The sequence below is a fragment of the Homo sapiens genome, chromosome 3 (assembly GCF_000001405.40).
Source record: "Homo sapiens chromosome 3, GRCh38.p14 Primary Assembly".
In the NCBI taxonomy this organism is placed as follows: domain Eukaryota; kingdom Metazoa; phylum Chordata; class Mammalia; order Primates; family Hominidae; genus Homo; species Homo sapiens.
The window spans coordinates 101,568,749-101,594,590 of NC_000003.12; the positions used below are offsets into that span (position 1 = coordinate 101,568,749).

At 40.4% G+C, this 25,842-nt stretch overlaps 1 protein-coding gene and 1 pseudogene across 17 annotated transcripts, besides 6 other annotated features; one reads left to right on the plus strand and one right to left on the minus strand.

Moving 5' to 3' along the window:
* Positions 4,643-5,588: an enhancer, noted in NCBI's record as "NANOG-H3K27ac-H3K4me1 hESC enhancer chr3:101292235-101293180 (GRCh37/hg19 assembly coordinates)". NCBI's record gives its function as "activates a minimal SCP1, AML or CMV promoter by ChIP-STARR-seq in naive H9 embryonic stem cells {active_cell/tissue: H9 hESC(naive)}" and the evidence as "EXISTENCE:reporter gene assay evidence [ECO:0000049][PMID:30033119]".
* Positions 5,032-5,301: an enhancer, noted in NCBI's record as "active region_20167". NCBI's record gives its function as "activates an Ori minimal core promoter by ATAC-STARR-seq in GM12878 lymphoblastoid cells {active_cell/tissue: GM12878}" and the evidence as "EXISTENCE:reporter gene assay evidence [ECO:0000049][PMID:35858748]".
* PCNP (PEST proteolytic signal containing nuclear protein) lies at positions 5,346-25,717 on the plus strand. Of its 17 annotated transcripts, none has more exon segments than NR_135232.1 (6): positions 5,346-5,531; positions 7,952-8,046; positions 11,094-11,256; positions 16,689-16,763; positions 21,467-21,522; positions 23,879-25,717. NR_135232.1 is itself a non-coding variant. In NM_001320399.1 (6 exon segments), coding segments are annotated over 5 exon segments (477 nt in total). In that variant the 5' UTR covers positions 5,346-5,531; positions 10,841-10,962; the 3' UTR covers positions 24,006-25,717.
* Positions 5,402-5,531: an enhancer, noted in NCBI's record as "active region_20168". NCBI's record gives its function as "activates an Ori minimal core promoter by ATAC-STARR-seq in GM12878 lymphoblastoid cells {active_cell/tissue: GM12878}" and the evidence as "EXISTENCE:reporter gene assay evidence [ECO:0000049][PMID:35858748]".
* Positions 5,612-5,771: an enhancer, noted in NCBI's record as "active region_20169". NCBI's record gives its function as "activates an Ori minimal core promoter by ATAC-STARR-seq in GM12878 lymphoblastoid cells {active_cell/tissue: GM12878}" and the evidence as "EXISTENCE:reporter gene assay evidence [ECO:0000049][PMID:35858748]".
* Positions 5,792-5,951: an enhancer, noted in NCBI's record as "active region_20170". NCBI's record gives its function as "activates an Ori minimal core promoter by ATAC-STARR-seq in GM12878 lymphoblastoid cells {active_cell/tissue: GM12878}" and the evidence as "EXISTENCE:reporter gene assay evidence [ECO:0000049][PMID:35858748]".
* On the minus strand, positions 7,698-8,242 carry RPS18P5 (ribosomal protein S18 pseudogene 5; annotated as a pseudogene).
* Positions 8,626-8,675: an enhancer, noted in NCBI's record as "active region_20171". NCBI's record gives its function as "activates an Ori minimal core promoter by ATAC-STARR-seq in GM12878 lymphoblastoid cells {active_cell/tissue: GM12878}" and the evidence as "EXISTENCE:reporter gene assay evidence [ECO:0000049][PMID:35858748]".
* Positions 25,718-25,842: the final 125 nt, after the last annotated feature.

The window sequence follows — 25,842 nt, forward strand, 5'->3', positions numbered from 1 at the left end:
AAAGAGAATGGACAAGGCCGGGTGTGGTGGCTCAGGCCTGTAATCCCAGCACTTTGGGAGGCCGAGGCAGGCAGATCACCTGAGGTCGGAAGTTCGAGACTACCCTGACGAACATGGAGAAACACCATCTCTACTAAAAATACAAAAAAAATTAGCCGGGCATGGTGGTGCATGTCTGTAATCCCAGCTACTTGGGAGGCTGAGGCAGGAGAATCGCTTGAACCCTGGAGGTGGAGGTTGCGGTGAGCCGAGATCACACCATTGCACTCCAGCCTAGGCAATAAGAGCAAAACTCCTCAAAAAAAAAAAAAAAAAAAAGGAAATGGACAGGCGGAGCACGGTGGCTCAAAGGTCAGGAGTTTGAGACCAGCCTGGCCAACATGGTGAAACCCCAGCTCTACTAAAAATACAAAAATTAAAATTAGCCAGGTGTTGTGGCACAGGCCTGTAATCCCAGCTACTCAGGAGACTGAGACAGAAGAACTGCTTGAAGCCAGGAGGCGGGGGTTGCAGTGAGCCGAGACTGTGCCACTATACTCCAGCCTGAGTGACAGAGCAAGACTCCGTCTCAAAAAAAACAAAAACGAAAAGAAGGGACGGGACTAGGTGTGGTGGCTCATACCTGTACTCCCAGTACTTTGGGAGGCCAAGGCAGGTGGATCCCTTGAGTCCAGGAGTTTGAGACCAGCCTGGGCAACATTGTGAAACCCTGTCTCTACAAAACTTAGCCAGGGATGGTGGTGTTCACCTTTAGTCCCAGCTACTTGGCGGGCTAAGCCAGGAGGATCGTTTGAGCGTGTGATGTGGAGGTTGCAGTGAGCCAAGATCATGTCATTGCATTCCAGGTTGGGTAACAGAGCAAGACCCTGTCTCAAAAGATAAAAAAAAGAATGGACAGAGATATAGGAGACAGAGTATGAACAATCTTTTCAAAGTTTCTATATGAAGGAAAATAGGAATGAGGAGCTACAGGAAGATATGAGATCAAGAGAAGAGTCTTTTACTAAGATAGGAGACATAAAAGCATGTATGTATGATGTTGGGAATGTTTCAATAGTAGAAAGAAAAATCGGATGGAACAATAGTGATGTGTGTAAACAAGGACAGGCTCCACTTCATAAGTAACAGAACACATAGTATATAGGTATAAATGCAGGTACCACACCTCAGATATGGTTGAGAATATATAGAAGTTCTGTTTGATTACTATTATTTTCTCACTGAAAATAAAAAGCAAAATCATCCCAAGTGGGAGGACGTAATGGACATTTTTGGAGAGCCAACAAAACATGAAATAGTATAGGAAAGTGAGTGAATTAGGGCAGTGGTTCTCAAAGTGTGGTTCCCCAACGAGCAGCATCAGCATTACTTGGGAACTAGTTAGAAATGCAAATTTTAGGGCTCCAGCCATTGAGTCAACTGAATCAGAAACTGGCAATGGGGCCCAGCAATCTGTTTTAACATGTCCTTCAGGTGATTCTGATGTACACTGAAATTGAGAATAGTCTGAGGACATGTAATAGAATTATAAGGCTACATTAAGAACCTACTTAATGGCTCATGCCTGTAATCCGAGAATTTTGGGAGGCTAAGGCAGGAGGATCACTTCAGCCCAGGAGTTCAAGGCTGCAGTGAGCTATGAGCCACTGTACTCTAACCTGGGCAACAGAACGAGATCCTGTCTCAAAACAAAAACAAAAACAAAACAAAAAAAAGAACCTACTTAAGGTTAGTGAAATCAAGATTAGCCACTTTTCTTCTCCACTCTAATTTTTTTTTTTTTTTTTTTGGTAGCTCTTGGCCTGAATTTCAAGTTCAGCTCCACTTCTTACTTATCTTTTCCGTGCCCAAATTCCCTCTTCCATAAAAATGGGAGTAACAGTAGCACTTAATTCACAGGGTTGTAATGATTTAATGTACTGAATTTCATGTAGAATACCTGCAACAATGCTTGGTGTATAGTAAGCTTGAATAAATGTTAGATATTATAGTTGTCGCCTCACAAATTACACATCTAAATTAAAATAATAATTGCTCATATTACCTTCCATTTCCAGCCTTTTAAACCACTTAAATAGCTCACTAGAGGTTATAATCCATAGCTACTATGAAGCAAGCTCTCACCATGGCCAGGCAGCATATTATAGATTTAACCTTTATTATCCCAATGCCCTCAGTAACCCTATATGTATTATTCCATTTGTATAGTTATAACATATTCCATAACATTGTTATCCAGTACAAACTCACAGAATTAGCAAAATGCAGAATTAGAATTTAAGTCGAGTTTTTGTGTGGTGCAAAACTAATGCTCTTTGCCTTGGACTACATTGCCTATTCATTGTCAGAAAACGGTACCCCAAAATTTGGTGCTTTGACATGCTGAACTAGAGAAGCAGCCGCAAGGTTTCTCTGATCTCCCCACCCCACCTCCTGCCTCTCAATCCTCTGCCTCCCCCAAAACACGGGATAAGACTGTTCTTTGAAGTTTCTTATCTACCTAGAAACCACACACATCAAAGAACACAATTGCTTTCTATCTGCTTCCTCCCTGAAATTTCATTAACCAGAAGAAATTAAAACATATCACAAAGCCAGATACAGTGGTGCACACATGTAGTCCCAGCTACCTGTGAGTCTCAGATGGGAGGATTCTTGAGGCCAGGAGTTTGAGGCTGTAGTGTGCTATCATCATGCCTGTGAATAGCCACCACACTCCAGCCTGGGCAACACAGTGCGACCTGGTCTCATAAAAAAACAAAACTCACATCATAGAGGAAGAGACTGAAAATTAACCACCACACTTAGAGCCCAAACTTTGCCTCAAACTACTGTTTTTTGTTTTTGAGACAGGGTCTCACTCTGTCACCCAGGTTGGAGTGCAGTGGCGAGATCTTGGCTCACTGCAACCTTGCCTCCGGGGCTCAAGTGATCCTTCTATCTCAGCCTCCCTAGTAGCTGGGATTATGGGAGTGAGTCACCACGACTGGCCTTCGAATTATTATTGGTTCTCTAGTTTCACTTGGTTTACAAAGAGAATAATTTACAAGTGAATTTCTGCATTAATCTCTCCTAAAATCATTTACTACTCCTCTAAAATTGCCTGTAGCCCCCCCACCTCTCTCTCCCCTATGAAAAGTATTAAACTTCAACCATCTGACCCTTTTTTTAGTTTTCTTATTTTGTTGTATCATTCCCATGCTTATGCACATTAATTTTCTCTTGTTAACCTGTCTTTTATTAACAAGCATGTTGTCATGACTCTTTTGATGGGGAGGAAAGTGATCACCCCCTTTCCACCCCTTCATACTACACTACCTTTCCATTTCCTAACCCGTTTGTAGGAGGTTACTGAAGCTTGCATTAATTTCTTCAATAGATATTTATCCAGACTAGTATAATCCAGGTGCTGGGGAAACAGTGGTGAACAAGACAGGCACACCTCATGAAACTCACAGAACTGAAAGGTGAATGGATTACTATCTTCATCCTTTTTTTGTTTCGTTTTTTTCCTTTCATACCTAGTCCTGCACATGCATCCTTAACTTCTGCAGTGTGGTATATGGGAACTGGATCCGCTCCTAAATAGGTATGTGACTTCTCTGAGCTTTATCTTCTTCACTTAAAAATTACAAGCATCGGCCGGGCACGGTGGCTCACGCCTGTAATCCCAGCACTTAGGGAGGCTAAGGTGGGCGGATCACAAAGTCAGGAGTTCGAGACCAGCCTGGCCAACATAGTGAAACCCCGTCTCTACTAAAAATACAAACATTAGCCGGGTGTGGTGGCACGCGCCTGTTGTCCCAGCTACTCGAGAGGCTGAGGCAGGAGAATCGCTTGAACCCAGGAGGCGGAGGTTGCAGTGAGCCAAGACCATGCCATTGCACTCCAGCCTGGGTGACAGAATGAGAGACTCCATTCCACCCCCCATAAAAAATTACAAGCATCTGTAAATACATAATCTCAAATAAAAATCTTCGTGTATATCTCCATTTTTAAAATGATAGAAACGAGAGTCTCAATGATTACCTTGAAAAGATCACAAGGAAAATGAAACAAACATGAATTAAGTACCTGTAAGATAGTTTGCTGGTTACTTTTACATATATGATAAATGATGGATCAGGGACTTCAACCTAGATCACAAAATCACCACCACACTGCCCTGCTTCTGTCATGGGAAACACACTTTGATAATTTCTTCATTCTTTCTCCACTCCCTGGACTTGAAGCCCGAGAAGTAATCCATCCGCAAATATTGAACACTTTTTATATTCATATATGAAACGCACAGTACACAGTTTTTAAAAACTGGTCTCTGTTGTCAAGGAACTTTTGAGCCATTCAGAGAGACAACACTTAAAACACACACACACACACACACACACACAAACTGAGGGAAGTATGAAGTGACCAAATAATGGTATACAAAGATGATCTCATTTGATCCCTATTACCACTCTTTGAGGAGGTACTATTATTATTGCTCTTTTATAGAGAAGAAAAGGTAGCTCTGTAGGCAGTAAGCAAGTCTCAAGGTTACTCAAGCAGGAAAGGGCAAAACAGATTCAAATCCAAGTTCTGACTCCTAAGACTTTCTCTAACTATATATGGTAAGACAAACCCAGAAACTCCAGTTCCCTAAGCAAGTAATAGACCCCATTTGGCTAGGAGGGCTGGATAAATACTGAGAAAGGGGGAAGATGAAGCCGAAAAGGTAGGCTAGGGCCTAATGTAACTCACGGACTTCAGAATGCAGACTGTAGGAATCCACTAAAGGTTTCTTATTAAGGCAGAAATTACTGCAGTCTTAACTTGACATAGTAGTTTCTCAACTTGGTAGAAGCAGACTATACAAAAAGTAACTTTACAGTTGGCTACGTGACTTAGACAAATTACTCTCTCTGACCTCAACTCTTACAGGTAATTGAGAGGAGAATTCTATATTTGGACAATCGCCGTGATTAAACGAGTGTATGAAAGGCGTCTGAAGCTAGGGGGCGCTAGATAAACACTGATTTCCCCTTTAGGGAAAAAGAATGCAGGCTTTTTGTTTACATAGAGTTGGCAGGCATGCGTTATCCAGCAAGGCCGGAACGGAAGACACTCTCAGCCTCAGCTGCAACCACATCTGGGTATGCAGAAACCTTCTAAGATCCCAGCGTTTCCAGGGAGATGCTCCATTTCCCCTCACTTCTCCGGACCTGTCGCTAGACCATGAAGACCTGACTGCCCTCTAATAAAGTGCCTAGCCAGCACTCTTAGACCGCCCAACCTTCCCAGCTCTTCCTTCCGAGGCGGCTACTCGATGACATCACATCCACTTCCGCTTCCGAAGGCGGCCTCTTTTCATTCCTCGGGACCGCTCTAGGCTGCCACCACGCCGGCTGGCCCCAAAAACTCGATGGTTGTTGGGCGGGGTCGTGACGTCCTTGGCGTGGCTGCAGGGGAGGCCGCGGCGGGGAAAATGGCGGACGGGAAGGCGGGAGACGAGAAGCCTGAAAAGTCGCAGCGAGCTGGAGCCGCCGGAGGTGAACACAACCCCAGCGTCGTGGGCAGCGTGGGATGCTCCGGGCCTTTCTTTGAGCTCCCAGGGTGGGGGGAGTGGGGTGGGGCGAGAATGGGCGGATCTGGACCTCACCCGGCCAGGTGTTGGGCCCAGACCTGCCTCGGGCACGCCCGATGCGGCCCTCTGGGCTCCGGGCCTACATCGCCTCCTTGCCTGGGGAGAGCCGGCCACTGTTCGTCACCTCCTGGCCCCAGCGGAGGCCCTGATTCCGAGGAGAAGGGAGATGGGCGCCAGAAAGGGAGACCGAACTCGGGGTGGGACCAGGAGCGGCGGTGCAGGAGCCGCTACCGCCACACCGGAGACGCACATCACACAAAACACACACACCGGAGACGCTCATGAGACATAACATACACACAGTGCGAGCCACCGAGTAGTTGCCGCGGGAACTGGCCGCAGGCTGAGTTTCTGACGGTGCCGGCCTCTCAGTTACACGCAGGAGTTAATTACGCTTGCTGCTCCCTTTTCACTGAGGAGGTGGACAACTCCGGCCTGCTCTCTTTCCTTTACTTCCAAGTTTAATATTGACCCTGTGACAGGATGGGCCGAGGTGATGGAGGGGAAGAGGAATGCCTTTGCCTGCCCTCTGGTTTAAGCTGCGGGGTCTAGGGCTAAGGTTTGGTTGCTTTTCTTTGAAGTATCTCCCTTAGGCTGTTGCCAGCTGACCGCTTGCCAGATACTTAGGCGACTAAATAGTCTAGCGTGACTCTTCCTGTATTTTGTTACGACGTTAAACTCAGGTTACAGCTATCCTTATTCTGTCCATTCCACTCCCTAAATTCGGGTCTTGTGCGTGAAGGAAAAGAAACGTAATCTCTCCAGCTCCCTCTTTGCACATAACAAGACAAGTGACTTAACACGTGCGAGCTGTTTAAAATGTTTTTAGAACATTTTAAACATTATTCTCTATTCTGACCACCTTAGTTATCATTCCCGAAATTATTTAATATGAGAAAATAGAAACGATTAATAGCATATGAAGGCCACTAGTAGACCTACTAACATAATGTTTCATGTTAATTGCCTTGGGAACAAAAATTATTGAAAAGATTAAGTGTAATGTTAATTACTTTGGACCCAGGATTTCCTTTTTAAAAAACACGTACAATTCTGTTAGTTAAGCTGGAACTCCATCTCTCTCTTCCCTCCCCACCCCCTGTCTTTTTTTTTTTTTATAACTAGTAAAATACCTTATGAAAGAACAATTTAAATTTAAACCATCTACTACTTTCTCACTAGGGAATTTTTTTTCCCAAAAAAATTGTATTGGAAATTGTGGGATAAAATTACATAAAAGTTTAAAAGTAGTTTGAGGAAAAGCAAAAAATTTTAGACGTAGTTTGAGGAAAAGCCTAAAGAATCATGTGTTGATTTTAAGGCCATCTCGTTAACTGTCTTGACCGAGGGTAGCAGACGTGTTTAATGTGCTGTCAAAATGTACCTTGAGTGTCATTATAAATCCACTGTATAATTTACCTGCCATTCTTTCAGTTGAGGGTTATTAGTTCTATAGTATGAATATTGATGTTTCCATTTTAGCATGTGGGGAGAAGTAGTAGAGAATTACTTTGCTAATTGGTATCAGAAAAATTATTATGGTCTTTTTCTTGGTAACTTAGAGTAAGTAAATATCCCTTAACTTCTACATAATTTGTCTCCTTGCCGTTACAAGAAAGTAGTGCTGTTAAGTTTAAGCCATTTTTGAATGTCAGATATTTTTAATGAAATTGTGCATAGGAATCATAGTTAAAATATGTCATACCATGGATATTGCAAAATTGGTAATTTTGTGGCAGATAGTCACTTTTTTGAAAACACTGTCAAGTTTGTCTTAGGGGCTTAACTAGAGAATATTCTGAATTTTAATTCCTGTCGAGCAGTCTACTAAGTTGGAAGTATAAGTTTTTTTTTTTTATGAATGGTTTCCTTTTTTTTTTTTTTGAGATGGAGCTCTGTCGCCAGGCTGGAATGCAGTGGCGTGACCTGGGCGCACTGCAAACTCCGTCTCCCCGATTCAAGTGATTTTCCTGCCTCAGCCTCCCAAGTAGCTGGGACTACAGGCGCGGGCCACCACGCCCAGCTAATTTTTGTATTTTTATTTTTTATTTTTTTTATTTTTTATTTTTTTCATAGGTATATAAACTATTTATTAACAGACAAGGCCTACAGACTTATTTCTTCTTGGACACACCCACGGTGCGGCCACGGCGGCCAGTGGTCTTGGTGTGCTGGCCTCGGACACGAAGGCCCCAGAAGTGACGCAGCCCTCTATGGGCCCGAATCTTCTTCAGTCGCTCCAGGTCTTCACGGAGCTTGTTGTCCAGACCATTGGCTAGGACCTGGCTATATTTTCCATCCTTTACATCCTTCTGTCTGTTCAAGAACCAGTCTGGGATCTTGTACTGGCGTGGATTCTGCATAACGGTGATCACACGTTCCACCTCATCATCAGTGAGTTCTCCCGCCCTCTTGGTGAGGTCAGTGTCTGCTTTCCTCAACACCACATGAGCATATCTTCGGCCCACACCCTTAATGGCAGTGATGGCAAAGGCTATTTTCCGCTGCCCATCGATGTTGGTGTTGAGTACTCGCAAAATATGCTGGAACTTTTCAGGGATCACTAGCGACATGGCGGCAGCACAAGCGGCGGCGTGTAGGCCTCCTGTGGAGGAGCAATTTTTGTATTTTTAGTAGAGACGAGATTTCACCATGTTGGCTAGAATGGTCTCAATCTCTTGACCTCGTGATCCGCCCGCCTCGGCCTCCCGAAGTGCTGGGATTACAGGCGTCAGCCACCGCGCCCGGCCAACATTAATTTCTGTCTATGAGAGAAGCTACTTATTTGAACTACCTGCTTTAAATAATAGGGTAAAATTGGTAGTTTTTTTTTCTCCTCCCTTTGGTTAAATCTTTGTAGCTGTTTGAAATAATGTTAGGAGAAATAATGTTAAGAAAAATGTTAAAGAAGAGCTAGTCATACATAATCATGGCCATCTCAAGCTTTTTTGGTTATACCAAGAACTGCGTCAATGAAGTTGACATTTATTATGTCAGACACTAGTAGGGTCTTGAATACCTTCTCATTTAGGCTGCACACCTCTGCATACTAGAGAGGTAGCTCTGCCCTTCTTTCAAAAAAGGAAGCAACCAGAATGCAAATGGGTTATGAAGGGTACCCTTACAGACTTAAACTTTCTTATTAGGTAGTTTTTTCTTCCTTTTTTTGAGATGAAGTCACGCTCTGTCGCCCAAGCTGGAATGTAGTGGCATGATCTCAGCTCACTGCAACCTCTGCGTCCTGGGTTCAAGCGATTCTCCTGCCTCAGCCTCCTGAGTAGCTGGGATTACAGGCCCTTGTCACCACGCCCATCTTAATTTGTACTTTTAGTAGAGACGGGGTTTTGCCATGTTGCCCAGGCTGGTCTCAAACTCCTGACCTCAGGTGATCCACCCGCCTTGGCCTCCCAAAGTGCTGGGATTACACGTGTGAGCCACTGTGCCCAGCTTACTAGGTAATTTTTTCAAAGTAAGGTACCTTTGTGCTCTAAGGCTCACCCCTCTCCAACTACTCAATGAAAAAACAAAAAAATGCTAGTACCATGTGTATTTTGATTTCATGTTAATTACATATTTTATTTGCTCAGAGTACAAATTAGATAAAATTCCTTTTATTAAAATATTCCTTAGTAAAGAATCTAGTAATTTGCTATTTTATCCATGTTTTATGTTCTAAATTGATAAGTTATTTTCTCATTTTTAAAAAAACTGATCATGTATTTAGTCATTCTTTAGTGTATAGATTGTTTCTACATATAAAGCCAGCAGGTTTTCTGTTTGTTTCTCTGTTCCATTGTGTAGAGCCAAAGAGGTTTTTATTTTAACTGTGTGTCAGTCACAGGAAAGTAGTTATTGTTTGGGCTCCACTATGAAATGTCATACTTGATTAGAGCTACAAATAGAATACAGAATAAAATTAGCGTAAGTGCTTTTAGTTATAAACAGACTCTGAAAAAACTGTTTGCATCATACTCTTTCAGAGATATTCTGTGCTTCATAAATTGAGTTCCGTTTTTCAGTGATTGAATAGCAATCTTGATTCTTTAATTCTTCAGGTGCTTTTGTGATTTTATATATAAGTAAGAGAATGGCACCTCAAGCAGCCATTTCAGTGCTATCTTTGTCTCTTAGGGAAATCCCAAAACATAATCCTGCTTAATTTCCCTGCCCTATACTGTCATTACAACTTTTACTCCTTGTCCAAAGGGAATAAAGAGTTTCTTTTATTTTTCATCTAAACAGAATCAAATGTTTTGTTCAAAGTGCTTATTAATCTAGAGACCCCATTATTCCAAAACTGTATAGATCTATATCTATAGCCTCTGATCTTTTAATCCTTTACTTGTCAGTCTGTGTTCGACTTTTTTTCTCCCCATTCTAGCTCTGTGTCCTGCTTTCTTAACTGTTAATCAAGGCCATCTCTTGGAGCATCTTCTTTTTCTCCATAAATAAACTCTTGATCCAGTGTAGCATAATACATTCCATATGGTGAACGGGCAAACTGGGGAAAGAAAATAAAAGTTTTAATCATCAGCCAGCCTTCTTCTGTCTTACCGCCTGATATGTTCTTAGTCTCATATAACAGACCCAAGAAAGTCAGAATGTGAACTAATTTCATCATTGACTTCATACAAACAGAAGCAAAATTAGCAAGACATTTTGCCTTCCAAACCTACATATGTATGCCTTCTACTGTTTGAAATTATGATTAGCTCATCTTTCATGAAAAAAACTAACATATAAACCAAAGTATGATTTTTTTTTTTAAATAGCTCTTATGGGTAGCTTAAAACAGGTAATAACCAAATTGTCAGAGTAGAATTAAATTTCTCAAGAGGGAATGACCTTGAAGTTCCTTTTCAACTCCTAAGATTGTGTGAGATGTACGTGAGGAACACATCACTCAAGGAAATAACTGGGCTGTATTAACACTGTCATTTGGGTAATAATGGGCCTGTTTATAACTAGGTACTTTGTATGATTATTACATTACTGAAGAATATTAAAATTTATTAGCCAAGTGTATTATTTTACCGTGTGACCAATTGCTCACAAACTACTAAGTGTAAAAGATGTTAGATAGATCTGATTTCTAAAAAGCAAAATCCCACAAATAACCAGATTATTGTACAAATTGTAGTGTTTAGTTGAAGGGTCTTGACTTTTTGTGAACTCTGTGTTTATAATTTTAAATTGCTCTGTATTTTATGCTAGTTAATTCATGGGAGCCTCTTCTACTGCCACACAATCTCAGTTCCTGCTGTATACTCTAACAAACAGTGGAAGAGACTGTTGGGTCAGTAGGTGACAACTGCAGAGGTATCTTCCTTATAACGATGCTTTTTGAGGTTGCTGCTCCCATCAATCTGCTCAGTAAAAATAGCTCATCTTGGTAAGTTGTTTCGACTTCACCAGGACCTGAAGAAGAAGCAGAAAAACCTGTGAAAACTAAGACTGTTTCTTCCAGTAATGGAGGGGAAAGTTCCAGTCGCAGCGCTGAGAAGCGATCAGCTGAAGAAGAAGCTGCCGACCTCCCAACAAAGCCTACAAAGATCTCCAAGTTTGGATTTGCCATAGGTAGTCAGACGACAAAGAAAGCATCAGCCATATCCATCAAACTTGGATCAAGTGTGAGTTGTTATTTCATATATGATGTTTGTAATGGGTCTTAAGGATTTGCTTTGGAAACGTGGCGTTTACTAGGTTATGGTAAATTAAGGGTGAAAAGGTACATTGTTTGAGAAGTAATCTTTGACGTATGAACTTAGATGATTAGCACCCTGTTTAAGAAGGGTCTGAATGAATTTTATCTCAATAAAGCTGTTAAGAAACAAAGATTTGGAATATTAGGAACAACTATTATAGGGAATATGATTTATAAAATAATAAACTTAGAATTTTTCTGCGTTGGCTGGGCACAGTGGCTCACACCTGTAATCTGAAGACTTGGGGAGGCCAAAGTGGGAGGACCAGTTGAGCCCAGGAATTTCAGACCAGTCTGGGCAACATAGCAAGATCTATCTCTACAAAAAATAAAAATATAATTAAAAAAAAAATCTTTTTTCTAAGTTGAGCAAGTCCTCTGAAAAATATTGTCAGAAAGATTTTCCAAAGTTTTTTTTTTATCTTTCAGTGCCTGTAGTATTAAAAATAATATTGAGCAATCAGTTATTTGTATCTTAAAAGATGAATATTAGTAAGGTATTGCTTGATAAGATCTACCTAATTATCTTACTTTGGAACGACAAATGGGAATTGAATACTGTATATCTTATGTTGGTAGTCTTTTACAGGTCAATATTTGATCCTTTGTTTTAAGATGTCAGCCTTAGATTAATACTTATTAACCATGGAACCTCTGGAAGTGTTTGAAATATTAATTTGAAGCATATGAAGTTGTAGATACTTGTTTCTGACCTATAATATGAAAATTTCATAACCTTCAACCAAATAGATTTCTTATTTAAGGAAAAAGGAAGTTACTTAAATAGTGTATTGCTATTGGCTTTGGAAAATGGTTACATTCTTGTGTGAGGAGAAAAATCCTAAAATTGCCTTTGAGTTGGTTATTTTTATTTGTGCTATGAAAGTTAATGCTCAATTGCCAGATGTGCATAGCTTTATTCTACATTAGATGTTTATTCAAAGATCTTAAAAATATGGTCTGGAGCAGTCAGTATATTTGGGCTATTCTCATTTTAAAAAGCTGTTATTACTTAGAATCCCCACCCTCACTCTGCTCTGTTTGCCCTTTTTCTATTTCTATTTTTTAAAAAATTCAGTCTGAACAAAAAACATTGAGCTTATAACATCAGTACTTCATTACTCTATTTCTGTATTTCAGCTGGTAGTTTTTGTTTAATATGTAGTTATAAAACTTGTATAGACCTAACTGCATAAATATTTAATGTTTTTTGATAGGCAGTATGTTAAATATATATTCTCAGGTGTACTTCTACTATAGATGGTCCCCTTGAGAATAGATTTTACTGTGCATGAACATAGTTCCTAAATCTAAATCCCTACTCTTTTTTTTAATTTATTTATTTATATTTATTTATTTATTTATTTTTTGGAGATGGAGTCTCTCACTCTGTCATCCAAGCTGGAGTGCAATGGCACAATCTCGGCTCACTGCAACCTCTGCCTCCTGGGTTCAGGCGATTCTCCTGCCTCAGCCTTCTGAGTAGCTGGGACCACAGGTGCACGCCACCACGTCTGGCTAATTTTTGTAGTTTTAGTAGAGCCAGGATTTCACCATGTTGGCCAGGCTGGTCTCAAACTCCTGACCTCAGGTGATCTGTCCACCTCAGCCTCCCAGAGTGCTGGAATTATGGGCATGAGCCACCGAGCTCGGCCCCTCTTTCTTTTTTTTATTTTTTTGAGACGGAGTTTAACTCCTGTTGCCCAGGCTGCAGTGCAATGGTGCGATCTTGGCTCACTGCAACCTCTGACTCTGGGGTTCAAGTGATTCTCCTGCCTCAGCCTCCCGAGTAGCTGGGGTTACAGGCATGCACCACCACGCCTGGCTAATTTTGTATTTTTAGTAGAGACAGGGCTTCTCCATGTTGGTCAGGCTGGTCTCGAACTCCCGACCTCAGGTGATCTGCCTGCCTCAGCCTGCCAAAGTGCTGGGATTACAGGTGTGAGCCACCACGCCCGGCCTACTCTTTCTAAATAATTGACATGATTCGTAATTTCTGATAATTTGGGGTGGGAGGGTTATATTTTGAAAAAACTACTCAGTAAAACTTTTTAGTTTTGGAAAACAAATCTGTTTTTATAAAATAAACTGCAAGACTGGGCGTGGTGGCTCACACCTGTAATCCCAGCACTTTGGGAGGCCAAGGTGGGTGGATCACAAGGTCAAGAGATCGAGACCATCCTGGCCAACATGGTGAAACTCCATCTCTACTAAAAATACAAAAATTAGCTGGGTGTGGTGGCGGGCGCCTGTAGTCCCAGCTACTGGGGAGGCTGAGGCAGGAGAATTGCTTGAACCGGGAGGCAGAGGTGCAGTGAGCCAAGATTGTGCCACTGCACTCCAGCCTCGCAACAGAGTGAGACTCCGTCTCAAAAATAGATAAACTACAGTGTAAACACAGTCTTATTGGGAGGGTGAGGTGTAGGATATTAAAAAAAAATTGAAATTGCTGGATTGATTATGTGAAGATAGTTAATCAGCCAACAAATGCTTATTTGTGTCCACAACATTAAATACATGACATCTTTAAAAAATTAAGGGTGTTTCTAGAGTTACTATGCATAATCTCTAACTGAACATGTTTTATTCCTTCAAAAGAAAACACTGTAAAAAATGTGTGTGGTATAAAAGAAGGAATGGTTAATTTTGTTTCAGTAGATCAGAGAAGAGTTTACTGATGAAGTGATCTTTGAGTTGGACTTAAATGTAGGCAGGAGCAAAAGGGCATTTCATGCAAAGGCAGTTAAGATGTGAAGCCATATAGTACATTGAGAAAATCATTAATATTTGGACAGGGTTTGGTGGGGAAATGTAGGGATAAACAGCCCCCAAAATTAAGACCATGAGACCGAATTTAAGGGCTTGTATTCCATAATGAGTCTCAAGACTTAAACAGATTTGCATCTTAGAAGCATCACTATGGTACCATATAGATGGTTGGTGGGAAGAGGATGCAGAAAGTGGTGAGGCCAGGTGCAGTGGCTCATGCCTATAATTCCAGCACTTTGGGAGGCTGAGGCAGGATTGCTTGAGCTCAGTAGTTTGAGACCAGCCTGGGCAACATAGTGAGGCCTCTTCTCTACAAAAAGTAAACAAGGCTGGGCGCGGTGGCTCAGGCCTCTAAGCCCAGCACTTTGGGAGGCCAAGTCAGTGGATCTCTTGAAGCCAGGAGTTCGAGACCAGCCTGGCCAACATAGCAAAACTCCATCTCTACTGAAAAATACAAAAAATTAGCCATGGTGGCACACACCTGCAATCCCAGTTACTTGGGAGGCTGAGGCAGGAGAATCACTTGAACCCAGGAGGTGGAGGTTGTAGTGAGCTGAGATCGTGACATTGCACTCCAGCCTTGGTGACAGAGCAAGACTCTTGTCTCAAAAATAACAAATGAGCCGGGCATGGCAGGGTGTGCCTATAGTCCCACCTACTTGAGAGGCTGAGGTGGGAGGATCACTTGAGCCAGGGAGGTCGAGGCTGCAGTGAGACAAGATTGCACCACTGCACTCCATCCTGGGTGACAGAGTAAGACCTTGTCTCAAAAAAGAAAGAAAGGTCAGGAGATTTTTTTGTTTTGTTTTTTGGATTTTGAGACAGAGACTCACTCTGTCACCCAGGCTGGAGTACAAAGGTGTGATCTTGGCTCACTGCAACCTCTGCCTTCTGGGTTCAACCAATTCTCCTGCCTCAGCCTCCTGAGTAGCTGAGATTACAGGTGTGCATCACCACCATATCCAGCTAATTTTTTTTTTTTTTTTTTTTTTTTTAGTAGAGAGAGGGTTTCACCATGTTGGCCAGGCTGGTCTCGGAACTCCTGACCTCAAGTGATCCACTTGCCTTAGCCTCCCAAAGTGCTGGGATTACAAGCATGAGCCCCTGTGCCCGGCTAGGTGATGTATTTCTGACAGTAGTCCAGGCAGGTAATGCTAAGGACCTTAAGTTGGTAATGTGATAGCATGATTGAAAAGGCAGAGGGAGAATTAAGTTTACTTAATAGGTGTCTAATCAACAGGACCTTACAAGTTGAAGAAAAGATTTTCTGGTTTGAGTACTTATGAACACTGTGAAACTAAAGTACCTAGGGGAGCTCCTAAGTGGAGCTGCCCAGTAGGCAGATGATAGCCCATTTAGGGGTAGACATAGGATTAGGTAGTTAAAACTAGGAATGAATGAAATCGACCAGAGAAGGAAAAGTCATTGACAACAAAATTCTGGTTGTCTGCTAATTTAAAAAAAAATTTTTTTAGAGATGGGGGACTTGCTGTGTTGACCAGGCTGGCCTGGAACTCCTGGTCTCAAGCAGCCCTCCTGACTCAGCTTCCCAAAGTGTTGAGATTGCACATGTGAGGCACTGTGCCTGCCTGGGTATCTATATCTTCTAAATGGGGAGTAGCAGGAAAGGGACAGAACAAAAGGTGGGAGAATTGGGAGAATAACCAGTAAAAAGCATTGTTACAGAAGCCAAGGAAAGGGTGTTTTTATTTTTTATTTTTTTTATTTTTATTTTTTGAGACAGTCTCACTCTGTTACCCAGGCTGGAATGCAGTGGCGTGATCTCACCTCACTGCAACCTCTGCCTCCTGGGTTCAAGCGATTCTCCTGCCTCAGCCTCCCAAGTAACTAGGATTACAGGCACTCACCACCACACCTGGCTGATTTTTTGTGTTTTTAGTAGAGAGCACCTTGGGAGGCTGAGGCGGGTAGATCACGAGGTCAGGAGTTCAAGACCAGCCTGGCCAACATGGCGAAACCTCGTCTCTACTAAATATACAAAATAAATTCTCTGGGCATGGTGGCACACACCTGTAATCCCAGCTATTCAGGACGCCAAGTCATGAGAATCATTTGAACCCAGGAGGCATAGGCTGCAATGAGCCAAGATTATGCCGCTGCACTCCAGCCTGGGCGACAGAGCAAGACTCTGTTCTCAAAAAGAAAAACAAAAAACATAGTGAGAAGAGATGGTTTGGATTAATTATGTTTATAGGCCTAGAGGCAGAAAGCCCCTTTTATGCTTTCAAGGCACATTGTATTTAATGTTACTGTGGGAAGGTATTACTAATCATTTTCTCTTGCCTGTACCAAGTACCCCTTAGGTAAGTGATATTGTAGATCCTAACTAGAAAATCTTTTATAGGAGGGCAACAAATGGATGCCACAAGTTAGTAAAGTAAAACATACCCACTGATAATCCACATTTTTGAAAAGAGAGAATGGATTTGTCCAAAGTATTGGGTTCGTTACTATACAAATTTCTGTGGAAATATAGTTAAATCATTCAAGATAAATTATTCATATCATTAAACAAGCTTGTATAAATGTTATCTACATGATATTCTTTTTAATATGTTTCTTCTTCAGAAGCCTAAAGAAACTGTTCCAACTCTTGCTCCAAAAACTCTTTCAGTAGCAGCAGCTTTTAATGAAGATGAAGATGTAAGTTGATATCGAGTTTTGTTTTTTTACTTTAACCAGTTATTTAAGGAAGGTATTAGTGGCAAATTATAGGTTATAATAGTATTAGTGAATTTTCTTTATAATAGTTTTTGTGTCTGTGTGTGACATCCATAAAAACTGGATACTCTATTTTTGCATTTTATTTGGTTGTAAGATTATTTTAGAGTATTGTTGACTTTGGGGACAAGAAGCTTAAGGATGAAATCAGCAAATGTTTATTATGAGTAGTTTGTGCTAGGAAGTATGTAGGATCCAAAAAAAGAAAAATCTAATACTGTTGCCTTAATAATTTTTATAGTTGGGGTCTTCAGTAATGATACATTATGCATGCATTCAATTTTAAAAAGCCAACTATTGGCTAGGCGCGGTGTCTCATGCCTGTAAGCCTAGCTCTTTGGGAGGCTGAGGCAGGTGGATCACTTGAGGTCAGCGGTTCAAGACCAGCCTGGCCAATATGGTGAAACCCCATCTCTACTAAAAATACAAAAATTAGACAGGCGTGGTGGCACAGGCCTATAATCCCAGCTACTTGGGAGGGTGAGGCAGGAGAATTGCTTGAACCCAGGAGATGGAGGTTGCAGTGAGCCAAGATCATGCCACTGCACTTCAGCCTGGGCAACAGAGCTAGTCTCTGTCTCAAAAAAAAAAAAAAAAAAAAAAAAAAATGTCAACTATTGTGCTCACTTCCCATATCCCTAGGAGGGATAACAATTCAATAGTGCTGGTGATTCTGCCAGAAGTTCTACTCAAAAAGCATGTGGTCCAGAATGAGCATGAGATGCTTATCTGATAGTGTCTTTGTCCCAATTTCCTCATGCCCCTCACAATGTCGTTATCTTCCCATGTTATGAATGACCTATGGAAGTTTCAAGCATGATTCTGACTGATGTTTTTGTACTAGACTCTGACATTAAAACCTAACCCCCACTCATGATGTGACGTCATTGTGTAGCAAATAAGTGTTTCAGGATACATCAGTAGTTGTTCCCAAAAGCATATGTGGGCGTATATTCGTGTGTGTGTGTGTGTGTGTGTGTGTGAGAGAGAGAGAGAGAGAGTTTCTTGTTTCAGAGAGAGAGAGAGAGAGAGTGTGTCTTGCTTTGTTGCCTAGGCCGGAGTGCAGTAGCATAATCACAGCTCACTGTAGCCTTGACTTCCCAGGCTCAAGTGATCCTCCCACCTCAGCCCTCCAAGTAGCTGGACCACAGGCATGCCCCACCATGTTGCCCAGGCTGGTCTCAAACTCCTGGGCTCAAGTGATCCTCTGCCTTGGCCTCCCATAATGCTGGGATTACAGGTGTGAGCCACCACACAGCCATATGTTCTTAAGTGGATAAGACTTAATATGTTCAGAGGACTGGAGTGATTTGGGAAGAATATATATGAAGTAGATACTAAAACATTAGGCAGGGTTTTAGTGAATCAAGAAATAATTCTGTGGCCGCGCGCAGTGGCTCATGGCTGTAATCCCAACACTTTGGGAGGCCGAGGCGGGCGGATCACCTGAAGTCAGGAGTTCGAGACCAGCCTCAACATGGAGAAACCCCGTCTCTACTAAAAATACAATATTAGCCGGGCGTAGTGGTGCATGCGTGTAATCCCAGCTACTCAGGAGGCTGAGGGAGGAGAATTGCTTGAACCTGGGAGGCAGAGGTTACAGTGAGCCAAGATCGTGCCATTGCACTCCAGCCTGGGCAACAAGAGCAAAACTCTGTCTCAAAAAAAAAAAAAAATACTTTTGTAAGCCTAGCTATCAATTTTCAGGTCACAAGCAGTAAATACTGAGTAGCTGCATTTGACTGAACTGGAGAGTTTTGTAGAGGAATTTTGAGCAAGGGTAAATATTTAATGATTGGAGCCCAAATCAGTAAGCAGAAAATTACTGTAGTCATCAGTGTATTCTCTCTTGGACTTTCACTCATTCTATCCATTTGAGTGCTTTCTATATGTTAGCCACTGCGATGTTATAAAGATAAATCAGAAACGTTCACCTAGGAACTCAGCCTAGCAGGGCAGACTTAAATGTAAAACAGTACAAGATAAAAATCGAAAGTATCTGAATAAATGATACTGTGGAAATTGAGAGAAGGAGTAAAGGCCAGATACTAGATGCAGCAGCATGTAAAAGACCACTGGACTGGCAGTTGGAAGACCTGAATTAAGTTTGAGAAGCACTAACTTAAATAATATTTGAAGTTTCTTGGCATCTCTAACATTCTTAAGAAATCAGGTACCATTTGATTCAGCCTATTCAGATATGTACAGACTGTAGGAGGGAAGAACGATACAGGATGCAGGGAATACGTGCAAAAGTGCAGAGGTTGGAAATTGTAAGCACCTACATTACAACAATGGCTTACTTTGAATGCCTAACGATTTGGATATCTTTTCACATTATTTTACCCTTAATTTGTGAGTTGTGTGATATGTTTATTCATATTTTGAAAATGGAGAAATTGACTGGGCATGGTGGCTCATGCCTGTAATCCCAGTACTTTGGGAGGCCGAGGCGGGTGGATCACGAGGTCAGGAGGTCAAGACCATCTGGCTAACATGGTGAAACCCTGTCTCTACTAAAAATACAAAAAATTAGCTGGGCGTGGTGGCATAAGCCTGTAATCCCGGCTACTCGGGAGGCTGAGGCAGGAGAATTGGTTGAACCCGGGGGGTGGAGGTTGCAGTGAGCCGAGATCGCGCCACTGCACTCCAGCCTGGGCAACAGAGCAAGACTCCATCTCCAAAAAAAATGAAAATGGAGAAATCAAGTATGCATGAGCACATGCCAGTGCACACACATGTTGTCTTTTAGGTCTTCCTGTTTCTTGTTCTTTGTGTCATACCCTGCTGTTTTCCCTGCTTTTAAGTAAATTTCGGATGCATTTAGACAACATTCTTTCTCCTATAATATAACAGTAATAAAGGATAAACTGTCTCATAGATTTAAAAAACACATGTATCCGAAATCATCTTTTTTTTTCTTTTTTAAATCATAATTAAGTAACCTTGGATATATATTTGAGTTTGAAATATACTGAACAGAGAAGATAGCCACTTAATTAGTTAATTTTGAAATTTTAAAATATTTTTCCAGCTGTTACATATGTGTAGTCTCCTTTAATTTGGACAAATTCCTTAGTCTTTGTGTATATTTCATGGTATTAACATTTTTGAAGAGTACAGGCCAGTTATTTTGTATAAGCTCCCTCAATTTGGATTTGTCTGATGTTTCCTCATGATTAGTTTCACGTTTCTTACTTTTGGCACAAATACCACAAAAGTGATGCCAAGTTATCAGTGTGTCATATCAGGGAGCACATGCTATCAATATGCCCCATCACTAAAAGAGTGTTAACTTTGATCATTTGGTTAAAGTGGTGCCTGCCAGATTTCTTCACTGTCAAATTACTATTCTACCTTTTGTAATTAAAATTTATTTTGTGGGGATAGGCTTTGAGAATATGTGAAAATAATATGATTGAGGACGTTTTCTCACTAGCATTAACATCTGTTGATAATTCTTGCCAGAATTATTATTATAAGGTTTGCCAAATGATGATTTTTCTGATTCCATCATCCTTTCTGCATCTATTAACTGTCTCTTACTGTAAGGAAGAGCTTGGAAGAGCTTCTTATTATCACATTTAAATTTTATTTATTCAAGTGTATACTCATGGAATCTTACTTTATTCAATAGGTTATAATGCTCAAATTGTCACAGATTTAACCAGTAGAAGTCCCTTTAAGCTGGATCAACACCCTTTTAAAAAGTAGTATTTAGCTAAGCAGCAGCATTTATACATAAAAACTTATATTTGAAAGGAACTTTCCCCACAATTTTCAACACCTATAAGTATAGAAAAAGTAAGGAATGAGCTCTCTTTTTTTTTTTTTCTTTGAGACAGAGTTTCACTCATGTCACCCAGGCTGGAGTGCAGTGGCACGATCTCGGCTCACTGCAACCTTTGCCTCCCGAATTCAAGCAATTCTCCTGCCTCAGCCTCCTGAGTAGCTGGGATTACAGGCACGCGCCACCACACCTGGCCAATTTTTTATACTTTTGGTAGAGACGGGGTTTCACCATGTTGGCCAGGCTGGTCTTGAACTCCTGACCTCAGGTGATCCACTCACCTCAGCCTTCCAAAGTGCTGGGATTACAGGTGTGAGCCACTGCACCCAGCCAGGAATGAGCTTTCAAGATGTCTTTATTGTAGTAGATATTTTTGAGGAGCAGTACCTTAAAGTGGTTAAGAACCTTTGCTTTGGTGTCAAACTCTTTTGCTATTCATTTGCTTTGTTTCCTTGAGCAAGTTAACTTTGTTACCTCACCTGCAAAATATGAATGATGATAATCATACCTCCCTCATGCGATTATGTTAGGATTTTTAAGAGATAGGACATACACAAACAACACAATGGGCAGCATTTAGTAGCTAAATGGTTTTAGTTCTAGAATGTTTGTTTTTTCAGCAGTTTTTTTTCTTTATGCAAAATCAGCACCGTAGAAGACAGGCATTTATTTTTTAAATGTAGTTAAGGTAAATAACTCACTAATTTTCTCCTTTTACCAAAATTTACAGTAGTGAAAATGCTAAAAGACTTAGATATAAAATTTAGCGTATTAGTAATCAGGAATTGAATAAGTTTGTATGCAGTTATCTTGGTTTACTTACTTTTTTCTTTAGAGTGAACCAGAGGAAATGCCTCCAGAAGCAAAGATGAGGATGAAGAATATTGGAAGGTATTATAATTTTTCATAAATATTATAGAAAGATACAAAGGTGAATTAACAAAAATAACTTGCACATGATTTCTTACAGTTCAGGCTTTTCTTGTGCATTTGGGCAGAACAGTTTTTAAAAGCATGTTCTGTGTACTAGATGATTAATTAGGATTTTGAAGATGAATAAGACATGGTTCAATCCTCATGAAGAAAGATAACTAATTATTCTGTGAACTATCAGTGATCTTATTTAGTCTCCAGTTAAAGAAAATGAGTATCTTAAGACATAACAATAATTTAAGACTACTTCTTGACAGGGTCTTATTCTGTTGCCCAGGCTGGAATGCTGTGGCACAATCACAGCTCACTGCAGCCTCGATCTCCCACACTCAAGCTGCCCTCCCACCTCAGCCTCTCAAGAAGCTGGGACCACAGGCATATGCCATGACACCCGGCTGATTTTTTTTTTTATTTTTAGTAGAGGCAAGGTCTCGCTATGTTGCCCAGGCTGGTCTGTAACTCCTGAGTGCAAGTGATCTCCCCACCTCAGCCTCCCAAAGTGCTGGGATTACAGGTGTAAGCCACCATGCCCAGCTGTTTTTTCAAATAAGAAATAGCTATGAGAAATGTTTCTGATTTCAAAATTTTTGCTGGTATGAAACAAATGGCTTTCAGTCACTTCATTTTTTAAAAAAATTTGTAAGTAGAGACAGACAGGATCTTGCTGTGTTGCCCAGGCTGGTCTCAAACTCCTGGCCTCCAGCAGTCCTGCCTCAGCCTCCCAAAGTGCTGGGAGTATAGGTGTGAGCCACCATGCCCAGCCACTTCACTTACGATATAATTTCTACCACTTTATCTTATATTTCTTTTTTTCTTTAATGACTTAGATGCCAAATACCAAAATAAGATAAATGAAAGTATTTTAATTTTCTCCATTGTTGCTGTTGTCATGGAGATAACATTTATTTTTAAGTTAACACGATGTGCAGTTTCCTGTCTTTGTGTGCATTAATGGATAGCTTAGAGATCAGTAAGAAAGCTTAATACCACCTCAACCCCATACTATGTCCCCATTTCTTCCAAATGTATGAACCCACAAAGAACTGAGTGGTAAATCTTTTTCCTTTTCTTATTTAACTACCAGTATGATAATGCTAAGTGCTAAATCTATACACAAGCGTAAGTCTCCAAACTTCCATTATGTGATTCAAGTAGAGTCAGTCCCAGTGGCTGCCTGCATGCCTTCCTTTCATACTGAGCGTAAAGTAGGAAGTACATATGACGTTGTTGTCCCGCCTAAACACCCAGCACATATATTAATATAGTTAAACATAAATAATTGAAGCAGAAGTTCATAAAATGACACTGAACCTTTCTATGTGTAATGTATCTTCATGTTTTTCTTCTATTTCATTTTTTACAAATGCTGGTGGCCAGCTATCACATTGACTTCATGATGCTGTTAATGGATTACAGGCAACAGGTTTTTTTGTTTTTTTGTTTTGATTTTGGTGTTTTTTTTTTTTTTTTTTTTTTTAAGACAGGATCTAGCTCTGTCACTCAGGCTGGAGTGCAGTGGTGTGATCATAGCTCACTGCAGCCTTGACCTCCTGGGCTCAGGCAATCCTCCCACCTCAGCCTCCTAAGCAGCTGGAGCCACAGGCGCACACCAGCACACCTGACTGATTTTTAAATTTTTTGTCGAGACAGGGTCTCACCGTGTTGCTCTGGCTGGGAGGCAACAGTTTTTAAAACTGCAGTGGTTGCCACACTTAGCTGTATATCAGAATTACCTTAAATGTTTGTTAAAACTACAGATTTATCCTCACCCCCAATTTAGGCCTGCTGGATCTGAAATTCTAGAACTGTGTCTGTAAAGTGTTTTTTGTTTTTTGTTTTTTTGTGTGTTTTTTGTTTTTTGTTTTTTTGTTTGTTTTTTGTGACAGAGTCTTGCTCTGTTGCCCAGGCTGGAGTGCAGTGGCGTGATCTCGGCTCACTGCAACCTCTGCCTCCCAGGTTCAAGCAGTTGTCCTGCCTCAGCCTCCCAAGTAGCTGGGACTACAGGCATGGACCACCATGCCTGGCTAATTTTCGTATTTTTAGTAGAGACGGGGCTTCACTGTGTTGGCCAGGCTGGTCTCAAATTGCTGACCTCAGGTGATCCACCTGCCTCGACCTCCCAAAGTGCTGGGATTACAGGTATCAGCACCATGCCTGGCCTGTGAAATGTATTTTTAAAAAGCTCTGTAGGGCCTTCCAGTGTTCAGTCTGTGTTTATAATAGGTGCTAAACAAACATGTATTGAATGAATCAAAATCATAACCTGAAAGGCTTTATATAACATTTTAAATAAATTTTCTTTCTTTTAACACAGGGATACACCAACATCAGCTGGACCAAACTCCTTCAATAAAGGAAAGCATGGGTTTTCTGATAACCAGAAGCTGTGGGAGCGAAATATAAAATCTCATCTTGGAAATGTCCATGACCAAGACAATTAAATGATGTTTTGAAATTGGGGTGTGGGGTGGGTGTAAAGTTAAAAGGAACAGTTTCCTTTTTTAAAGAATGGTATAAGACTATCTTTGGAGCCGCTTTTTTTTTCTTTTTCATTTTTTTAAAAGATTGAGTGGTACACTAATAAATGAGAGTTTGAAATTAGAGGTAATTTATGTTTTATATACAGATTTCAAGACATTTGCTAATTTTGTAGTTTCATGTGATTAGTTTCCAAAGGTTACAGATAATAAAGAAATCAGAAATGGTACCTTTTTAAGAATTGCATATTTTTTTAGACACAACTATTAGTACATTAAGAGGGAAGCAAAGTTACTGTCTATTTAAAACTGCAAGCAGTTAACTCTCTTAACTCCCTTATTACCTAAACTTGTCTGGCTCCCAGGAACAGCCTTATAGAGAGAGGGAGTATTGTATTGGGAAGAAAATGTTACTGAACTATTGACTGAAAGTAAATTTAGATAAAATACAGCTTTTTTCCTTATGGGCATTTGTTTTGTTTCAAGTCATCATAAACTAGGTATTGCATTGCTATCCGTGGATACAGACGCTTAGCTCTTAAAAGATTTTTTTTTTATGTAAACTGTTGAATATTTGAAATAGTCCACTTCACCTTAATGGGTCTTGTCTATCTTCATTAGTCTTCAAAGAAAAACCATTTGCTACCAAAGTAAATCAGTATTTTGAATGTGCTTCTCTTGTTTTTTGTTTATTAGCTAGTTCCTGTAAGCATTTCCACCAGAACTTGAGGCAAATCGTAAGGAAGCTGTTTCTTTTAAAACACAAACCACCACCAAAAATTTAAATGTACATATTGCTTAAGTATTTGGCTGTTTTTATTTTTTAAAAGGTATAAACACCAAAAAAAAAATTAACATTGTATGAAGATGGAAAATAAGAAGATGCACTTTCTGTAACTTTGTCTAAGGATTTAAATTACTAACTTATGAACTCCAATTTGAATTGAACTTAACTATCGGCTTTCTTACTGGTAAAATTATATGGTTTATTTTAAATGCGTACATATTGACCAATGGCCTCTGAAAAAGCACATTTTAGATACTGAAATTGAAGGAAAGAAAATGCATCTTCAAACATTTTTTGGAATCTCACCACATATACTTTGTTAGATTTGTGTATTGTAGGGTGTTTGTTTTGTATTTTTGTATTGTATATGAACTTTTTTTAAATGTGACAGTTAAACACATCTTTAAAAGCATAGTCACAGACAAAAGCATACAGTATAAAAATTTCCTTGAAAACTCCTACAATATTATATTTGGAGGCAGCTTCAGACTGTTTTATTGGTGGTAGCTGCTTGCTGAGGTCTTTTAGTTGGTAATAACTCCAGAGAAGCAGCCTGTGTATATTCCTAACACTTTGTTCACTAGCATTTAAGTTTAGAATAAGCCCAAGTAAGACAATGGAAATGTATATAGAACTCTTAGTTCTTACATGATTTAATTATATCGATACATGAATTTAACTTACTTTAATGTAGGCAAACTATCAATTTTTTGTCCATTTTCCTGTTTGTTAAAATAACATACCTCTCCTACGTATTATTTTCTTGACCCAAATGAAATATTAACCTAAGGTCAAGCTGGGAGAGAGAAATGACTGAGATGAATGTCTTTACTAAAGTACCAATAAATTTGTCAAACTCAATAGTGTTTTTATTTTCTATTCCATTTAATTGTTGCTTACTGGTTTTTGTTTTTAAAGTTGAGACAAATGTCAAGTGTTGCTCTTGTTCATTTTGTTGACCAAAGTAATGGGGGATTTAAAATTCTGAATTACTAGTGTCTACCTAGCTCAGCA

Excerpts from the sequence above, each read along its gene's own strand:
- PCNP (NM_020357.3), top strand. The coding sequence starts at position 5,468 with ATGGCGGACGGGAAGGCGGGAGACGAGAAGCCTGAAAAGTCGCAGCGA. Across the intron at positions 5,532-11,041 it reads GCGAGCTGGAGCCGCCGGAG|GACCTGAAGAAGAAGCAGAA; the intron begins GTGAACACAACC and ends CGACTTCACCAG. Across the intron at positions 16,764-21,466 it reads CTTTTAATGAAGATGAAGAT|AGTGAACCAGAGGAAATGCC; the intron begins GTAAGTTGATAT and ends TTTTTTCTTTAG.